Consider the following 9,315-nt stretch of genomic DNA (forward strand, 5'->3'; position numbering starts at 1 on the left):
GTCGCCCAGGCTCGAGCGCAGTGGCGCGATCTCGGCTCACTGCAAGCTCCGCCTCCCGGGTTCACGCCATTCTCCTGCCTCAACCTCCCAAGTAGCTGGGACTACAGCTCTCACGCCAACACGCCAGGCTAATTTTTTGTATTTTTTAGTAGAGACGGGGTTTCACCGTGTTAGCCAGGATGGTCTCGATTTCCTGACATGTGATCCGCCCACCTCGGCCTCCCACAGTGCTGGGATTACAGGCGTGAGCCACTGCGCCAGGCCAAGTTTTTTTTTGTTTTTTTGTTTTTGAGACAGAGTTTCACTCTCGTTGCCTAGGCTGGAGTGCAATAGCGTGGTCTCAGCTCACTGCAACCTCTGCCTCCGGGGTTCAAGCAATTCTTCTGTCTCAGCCCGCCACCATGCCTGGCTAATTTTTGTATTTTTAGTACAGGCGGGGTTTCACCACGTTGGCCAGGCTGGTCTCGAACTCCTGACCTCAGGCAATCCACCCGCCTCAGCCTCCCAAAGTGCGAGGATTACAGGCTTGAGCCACCGTGCCCGGCTTCAGTGCAACTTTCTTCTTCATCCTACAGTACAGCTCCATGGGGAATGGTGCCCACCCTGCAGTGAGTTTGCTGGCACCCTGGTGGGTGGCCACAGATCTTCCAGCCCACACCTGTGGCACCTCAATGAACTTCACCATCCAGCAGGCGGCAGACATATCCTCTCTGAAGAGGTCTAAATCCCAGTCTTTGGTGGGGCATGGGAAAGGAAGTCCTCTTGCAAGTTTCTTCTTTCCTTGAGTACTCTCCTTCAACCTTAAAGGTAATAGCTGGTCCTGTTGTCTTTGCCATTTGCTACATTTGCTATTCCTGTTTGTTTATTTATGTATTTAAGAGAGGGTCTCACTCTGTCCCCCAGGCTGGAGTGCAGTAGTGCAATCATGGCTCATGGCAGCCTCAACCTCCCAGGCTCAGGTGATCCTCCTGCCTCAGCCTCCTGAGTAGCTGGGATGATAGGCATGCACCACCATGCCTGGCTAATTTGTTGGCCAGGCTGGTCTCAAACTCCTGGGCTCAAGTGATCCTCCCACATCGGCCTCCCAAAGTGCTGGGATTACAGGCATGAGCCACCATGCCTGGCTGTATTCCTGTTTTCTTTGGAGCCCTGTTTCCATTTTAGTAGATAATTACCTGTGCTAGTCAATTTTGTGTGTCAACTTGGAGGGTGTTTTGATGAGATTAACATTTAAATCTGTGAGCTTTGGGTAAAGCAGATTGCCTTCCATAACATGGGTGGGATTCATCCAATCAGCTCAAGTCCCAAATAGAACACAAAGAGCAACCTTCCTGAGGGGATTCTCCAGCAGACTCTGTGGACTGGAACTGCACTGTCAGCTCTCCTATGTCTCCAGCCTGCCCACACTGCAGATTTGGATTTGTGAGCCTCCATAATCCCATGAGCCAATTCCTTATAAGAAATCTCTCTTGGCTGGGTGTGGTGGCTCATGCCTGTAATCCCAGCACTTTGGGAGGTAGAGGTGGGCAGATCACCTGAGGTCAGGAATTCGAGACCAGCCTGGCCAACATGTGAAACCCTGTCTCTACTAAAAATACAAAAATTAGCTGGGCATGGTGGCAGGCGCCTGTAATCCCAGCTACTTGGGAGGCTGAGGCAGGAGAATCACTTGAACCTGGGAGGTGGAGGTTGCAGTGAGCCAAGACTGCACCATTGCACTCCAGCCTGGGTGACAAGAGTGAAACTCCGTCTCAAAAAACAAACAAAACAAAACAAAACAAAAAACGTCTCCCCACCTTTTACTAGTTAATAATTCTTTTTTTCTAGGCCGGGCACAGTGGCTCACGCCTGTAATCCCAGCACTTTGGGAGGCTGAAGCGGGCAGATCACGAGGTCAAGAGATCGAGACCATCCAACATGGTGAAACTCTGTCTCTACCAAAAATACAAAAATTAGCTGGGCTTGGTGGTGTGCACCTGTAGTCCCAGCTACTCGGGAGGCTGAGGCAGGAGAATCGCTTGAACCCCAGAGGCGGAGGTTGCAGTGAGCTGAGATCGTGTCGCTGCACTCCAGCCTGGTGACTGAGCGAGACGCCGTCTGAAAAAAATAAAAATGAAAATAATAATTCTTTTTTTCTTCCCCCCACTCCCCCTGCCCCGAGACAGAGTCTCACTTTGTCGCCCAGGCTGGAGTGTAGTGGCATGATCTTGGCTCACTGCAACCTCCGCTTCCTGGGTTCAAGCAATTCTCTGTCTCAGCCTCCCAAGTAGCTGGGACTATAGCCATGTGCTACCATGCCTGGCTAATTTTTGTATCTTTGGTAGAGACAGGGTTTCACCATGTTGGCCAGGCTGGTCTCGAACTCCTGACCTCTCAGGTGATCCACCTGCCTCAGCCTCCCAAAGTGCTGGGATTACAGGCGTGAGCGACCACACCTGGCTTCTTTTTTTCTTTTTTCTTTTTTATTGAGACAGAGTCTTGTTGCCCAGGCTGGAGTGCAGTGGCATGATCTTGGCTCACTGCAACTGCCACCTCCTGGGTTTAATTGATAATCCCACCTCAGCCTCCCGAGTAGTTGGGATTACAGGTGTCCACCACCACACCTGGATAATTTAGTATAATTCTTTATATTAAAGTTTCTATGTTCAAATTCGTGGCATGGTTTATGTCTCTGGGCTGTACACTACTGACATCAGCAGTGGACCTGACACAGGGCACATACATGTAAGTGACTTCAGCAAACTAACAGGAAATGGCTGTCCTCCATAGTTGAAGAAATGGACAGAGGAAAAGTCAAGAACATTTTTCATAAGAACAGTAATGGAGATGTTTGTTTAGGGCCCTCCAGAAGCAGAGCGGAGGGATGCCATAAGGCTTCCCAGGAGAGTTGATGTCTGAACTGAATATTGAAGGAAAAATAGGAGTTTTCCTGGCCAGGCTCGGTGGCTCATGCCTGTAATCCCAGCACTTTGGGCTTCTGAGGCAGGTGGATCACCTGAGGTCCAGAGTTCCAGACCAGCCTGGCCAACATGGTAAACCCTGTCTCTACTAAAAATACAAAAATTAGCCAGGTGTGGTGGCGCATGCCTGTAATCCCAGCTACTCAGGAGGCCGAGGCACAAGACTTGCTTGAACCTGGGAGGCAAAGGTTGCTGTGAGCCGAGATCGCGCCACTGCACTCCAGCCTGGGCAACAGAGCGAGACTCCATCTCAAAAAAAAAAAAAAAGAAAAAGAAAAAAAAAAGCATACAAATATACAGTTAGAAAAAATAAGACCTAGTATGTTTTTTGTTTTTGTTGTTGTTGTTGTTTTGAGACGGAGTCTCGCTCTGTCACCCAGGCTGGAGTGCAGTGGCACGATCTTAGGTCACTGCAACCTCTGCCTCCCAGGTTCAAGCAATTCTCCTGCCTCAGCCTCCTGAGTAGCTGGGATTACAGGTGCGTGCCACCATGTGCACCTAATTTTTGTATTTTTAGTAGAGGTGGGGTTTTGCCATGTTGGCCAGGCTGGTCTCAAACTCCTGACCTCAGGTGACCCACATACCTCAACCTCCCAAAGTGCTAGGATTACAGGTGTGAGCTACCGCATGCGGTTTTTTTTTTTTTTTTTTTTTTTTGGGACAGTCTCGCTCTGTTGCCCAGGCTGGAGTGCAGTGGTGCGATCTTGGCTCACTGCAACCTCTGCCTCCCAGGTTCAAGCGATTCTCCTGCCTCAGCCTCCTGAGTAGCCGGGATTACAGGCATGCACCACCACACCAGCTAATTTTTTTGTATTTTTAGTAGAGACAGGTTGGCCAGTCTGGTCTCGAATTCCTGACCTCAGGTGATCCGCCTGCCTCAGCCTCCCAAAGTGTTGGGATTACAGGCGTGAGCTACCGTGCCCAGCCAACTCTGTCTCTTTAAAAAACAAAACAAAAAGACATACTAGGGCCAGGTGTGGTGGCAGGCACCTGTAATCCCAGCTACTTAGCAGGCTGAGGCAGAAGAATCACTTGAACCCAGGAGGCGGAGGTTGCAGTGAGCCAAGATAGTGCCATTGCACTCCAGCCTGGGTGACAAGAGCGAAACTCCGTCTAAAAAAAAAATAAAATAAATAAAGATAAATATTTAAGGGGATGGACATCCCAATTATTCTGATTCAATCTTTACATATTACATGAATATATCAGATTATCATACGCACCCCAAAAATATGTACATCTATTACGTATCAATAAAAAAATAATAAAAGGGAAAAAAACAGAGCCAAGAAGAGGCTCCAATTAAACTTAGAGAGGGAGAGGGAGTAAAGTCCAGGCTGCCAGCACTGACAGAGTAAAGTCAGGGCAGCACCGAGTCCTGCTGGAAGAATGGGGAAAGTGTGAGCAGGTGCGCATTCACTGTCAGCCTCTCTTCCAAATACCCAAGGCTAAGGAATTACAAGCCAAGAGACTGCCTCATCCCAATGCTACTTCCTCCGAGGAGTTTAAAGGTGAAAGCTCAGAAGGGCCACCTGACCACAGTGAGGGCAAACAGGAGTGAGCCAGAGTGGTTTTGTGGTGCCTGGTGCTCCCTGCTCTGGGGCTACTCCCTCTCTCTCCTTAAATTCATCTTGACTACATTAGTCATCTTTGCTGAGGTAACAACCAACCTCAAAATCTCTTTAGCTTACAACAGAGGCCAGCAAATGTTTTCTGTAAAAGGTGAAACAGTAAATATCTTGGGCTCTGTGGGATGGACATATCGTCTCTGCTGCAACTACTCAGCTCTGCAGTTATAGCGTGAAAGCAGCCACAGACAATATATAAATGAATGAGAATGGCTGTGTTCCAATAAAACTTTATTTATGAATACTAACAATTTGAATTTCATATAGTTTTAATATCTCAAGATATTCTTCTTCTTTTGATTACTTTTCCACCCTTCGAAAATGAAAAAAAAAAAAAAAAAAAGCCAGGTGTGGTGGCTCATGCCTGTAATCCAAAATTTTGGGAGGCCTAGGCTGGAGGATCGCTTGAGCTCAGGACTTTGAGACTAGTCTGGGCAACATGGCAAAACCCCATGTCTACAAAAAAATTTAAAAAATTAGCTGGGCTTGGTGGCATGCACCTATATTCTCAGCTACTTGAGAGGCTGACGTGGGAAGACCGCTTGAGCCCAGCAGGTCGAGGCTGCAGTGAGCAGTGATTGCACGACTGCACTCCAGCCTGGGCAGTGGAGCGAGACCCTGTCTCACACACACACAAAAAGCAAACAAACATATAAAAAACAATTCTTAGCTTACAGATCTTACAAAAACAGAGAGTAGACTTGGTTCAGCCCATGGACTGTAATTTGGCAACCCTTGCTTTACAAAAACCATCTATTTCTTGCTCACGTTACATGTTGGTGACTACAGGGCAGCTTCCGTGCTCACCCCATGACCCAGGCTGAGCTGCAAGAGCAGCCCCTACTTGGGTCATACTGTTTTTGCAGCAGAGAGGAAGAACAAGATTGCTGGTGAAAATGCATCATGCCTCTTAAAGCTCCTGTTCAGAGCTGGCACGCTGTCACTGCTTACATTCCACTGGCCCAAGCAGGTCCCAAGGCCAAGCCAGACACTGGAGCAGGGAACTGCACTCTGCCTACAGAGAGTCATTGAAAGTCACATAGCAATGGGTGGAAATGTATAATCCTCTTGGGATGAAGGAGGGAACATTTGGAAAGACTAATAAGACTAATACAGTATACCATCATGAATAACACCTTCTCCCAACACACATTAGGACAATACTAGTCAAAATGTGGTCCAAGGAATGATGTACCTAGTCTACGGTGAGTACAGAAAGCGAGAGCAAGCATTTTAAAAGTTTTACAGCAATTTGATATTGCTGCAATAAATAGGCCCACAAGAGATTGGGAACAAAAATAATCTGGTTCTTTACCACAGAAACGCCGCATTAGCGAGAGAGTAGCCAATACTCCAGAGAACATGACTTTACAGGACAGAATACAACCACCATGAGAAAAAGGGTAAGCTGGCCAGGCACGGTGGCTCACGCTTGTAAACCCAACATTTTGGGAGGCCGAGGTGGGAGGATCACTTGAGGCCAGGAGTACAAGACCAGCCTGGGTAACAAAACAAGACCCTGTCTCCACAAAAAATAAAAATAGGCCAGGTAATGTGTCTCATGCCTATAATCCCAGCACTTTGGGAGGCTGAGGCGGGAGGATGGCTTGAGCTCAGGAGTTAGACAGCAGCCTGGGCAACAACATGAGACCTTGTCTCTATTTAAAAAAAAAAAAAAAAAAAAAAGGCTAGGCGTGGTGGCTCACGCCTGTAATCCCAGCACTTTGGGAGGTCGAAGTGGGCAGATTATGAGGTCAGGAGATCGAGACCATCCTGGCTAACATGGTGAAACCCGTCTCTACTAAAAATACAAAAGTTAGCCGGGCGTCTTGGTGGGCGCCTGTAGTCCCAGCTACTCAGGAGGCTGAGGCAGGAGAATGGCGTGAACCTGGGAGGCGGAGCTGGCAGTGAGCCGAGATAGCGCCACTGCACTCCAGCTGAGGTGACAGAGCGAGACTCCATCTCAAAAAAAAAAAAAAAAAATTATCCAGGAGTGGTGGTGCATGCCTGTGGTCCCAGCTACACAGGGGGCTGAGGCAGTAGGATCACTTGAGCCTGGGAGGTCAAGGCTGCAGTGAGCCATAATCACGCTACTGCACTCCAGCCCAGATGACAGAGCTAGACCCTGTCAAAAAAAAAAAAAAAAAAAAAGGGTAAGCTAAATTACATGTACATATACACACAGTATATAGTGTAGTATATTATTATTATATACATAGATATATAATCTAAGAATTATTAGAATAGAGGGATCAAAAATTTAAAATAAGAATGATATACTTAGCCAGGTGCGATGGCTCACACCTGTAATTCCAGCACTTTGGGATGCTGAGGCGAGCAGATCACCTGAGGTCAGGAGTTTCAGACTAGCCTGGCCAATATGGTGAAACCTCATCTCTACTAAAAATACAAAAATTAGCCGTGTGTGGTGGCGGGCACCTGTAATCCCAGCTACCTGGGAGGATGAGGCAGGAGAATCGCTTGAACCCAGGAAGTGGAGGTTGCAGTGAACTGAGATCAAACCACTGCACTCCAGCCTGGGCGACAGAGCGAAGCCACTGTCTCAAAAAAAAAAAAGAGATATACTTAGAGAAGAGATTATGTTGACAATCTGAGGCAATAACGAGAAATCGTAAAGAAGAACCAAGAATAAATATTAGAATTGAATAGTTGAAAGAAAGAACAAAGAGATAGAATAATGGCAGGATGGATATAGTTGAATAAAAAGTTAGTAAATTTCAAGATTATATTTAGGACCTTTCCCAGAAGATAGTAGGAAAAGACAAAGAACTAGAGAATATAAAAATAAATCCCAGCTGGGTGCAGTGGCTTACGTCTGTAATCCCAGAACTTTCAGAGGCCAAGGCAGGCAGATCTCTTGAGCCCAGGAGTTTGAGACCAGCCTGGGCAACATGGTGAAACCCCATTTCTACAATAAAATACAAAAATTAGCCGGGCATGATGACATGTGCCTGTAGTACTAGTTACTTAGGAGGCTGAGGTGGGAGGATCACTTGAGCCCAGGAGGTTGAGGCTGCAGTGAGCTATGATCATGCCACTGCACTCTGGCCTGGGCAACAGAGGAAAACCCCATCTCAAAATAAAACAAAACAAAAAAGTGCCCTTAGACTGCCAAACGGGATAGTTAAGAAAAAATCTACACGTAGGCACATTACAATAAAATGTAAGAATAGCAAATACAAAATGTAAGAACGTCAAAGACGGCCAGGCGTCGTGGCTCACGCCTGTAATCTCAACACTTTGGGAGGCCAAGGCGGGTGGATCATCAGAGGTCAGGAGTTCATGACCAACCTGGCCAACATGGCGAAACCCTGTCTCTACTAAAAAATACAAAAATTAGCTGGGCACGGTGGCAGGCGCCTGTAATCCCAGCTACTCAGGAGACTGAGGCAGGAGAATCGCTTGTACCTGGGAGGCAGAGGTTGCACTGAGCCGAGATTGCGCCATTGCACTCCAGCCTGGGAGACAGAGCAAGACTCCAGCCTGGGAGACAGAGCAAGACTCCGTCTCGAAAAAAAAAAAAAAAAGAACGTCAAAGACAAAGAGAACAACCTACAGGCTCATATAGAAATAGCAAATTGATACCACACTACTCAATAGCAACACTGGATGCAAGATAAAAATAGAGCCATATGGTTTTTCTGTTTTGTTTTTGGTTTTGGCAGAATACTTCTATAGTAGAGCAATATGTTTTAAAGTATCAAAGAGCACATTGAATCTAGAAATTTTTTTTTGTTTTTGAATCTAGAGTTTTATATCCATTCAAATTGTTATTCAAATGTTAAAGCATAATAAAAATATTCTCCAGCATACAATGCCTTGGAAACTTTGTTACACAAAGACAAACATTGAAAACAACCTTGAAGAGAGTACTCAAGATGAGAAACACATCCAGGAGATGCTGCAAGGGAGGAAAAATAAGTGTTCAAATACTTTGGTAAAGTTTGTCCTTGTCCGTATTTGCTATTTTTTTCTTTTTTCTTTTTCTTTTTTTTTTTTTGAGACGGAGTCTTGCTTTGTCCCCCAGGGTGGGGTGCAGTGGCATGATCTCGGCTCACTGCAACCTTCGCCTCCCGGGTTCATGCAATTCTCGTGCCTCAGCCTCCCAAGTAGCTGGGATTGCAGGCACATGACACCACGCCCGGCTAATTTTTGTATTTTTGGTAGAGGCAGGGTTTCGCCATGTTGGCCAGGCTGGTCTCGAACTCCTGGCCTCAAGTGATCGGCCCACCTCGGCCTCCCGAAGTGCTGGGATTACAGGAGTGAGCCACCATGCCCAGCCCGTCTTTGTTGTTAAATAAAAAGGTTTGTATTAAAGAAAATAAAAGGGGCCAGGAGTGTTGGCTCATGCCTATAATCCCAGCACTTTCGGAGGCCGAGGTGGGCGGATCACTTGAGGTCAGGAGTTTGAGACCATCCTGGCCAACATAGTAAAACCCCGTCTCTACTAAACATACAAAAATTAGCGGGGCATGGAGGCTGGGCACCTGTAATCCCAGCTACTCGGGAGGCTGAGGCAGGAGAATCGCCTGAACCCAGGAAATGGAGGTTGCAGTGCACCAAGATTGTGCCACTGTACTCCAGCCTGAGTAACAGAGCAAGACTCTGTCTCAAAAAAAAAAAAAAAAGAAAAAAAGGAAAAATACATTCATAATAAGTAATACCTATACCTATATTGGAGGGGATGGAGAAGAGACATGAAGATA

The 9,315-nt window shown here is 46.8% G+C and overlaps 2 annotated features.

Moving 5' to 3' along the window:
• Positions 480 to 529: an enhancer, noted in NCBI's record as "active region_692". NCBI's record gives its function as "activates an Ori minimal core promoter by ATAC-STARR-seq in GM12878 lymphoblastoid cells {active_cell/tissue: GM12878}" and the evidence as "EXISTENCE:reporter gene assay evidence [ECO:0000049][PMID:35858748]".
• Positions 580 to 699: an enhancer, noted in NCBI's record as "active region_693". NCBI's record gives its function as "activates an Ori minimal core promoter by ATAC-STARR-seq in GM12878 lymphoblastoid cells {active_cell/tissue: GM12878}" and the evidence as "EXISTENCE:reporter gene assay evidence [ECO:0000049][PMID:35858748]".

Source organism: Homo sapiens, chromosome 1 (assembly GCF_000001405.40).
Source record: "Homo sapiens chromosome 1, GRCh38.p14 Primary Assembly".
In the NCBI taxonomy this organism is placed as follows: domain Eukaryota; kingdom Metazoa; phylum Chordata; class Mammalia; order Primates; family Hominidae; genus Homo; species Homo sapiens.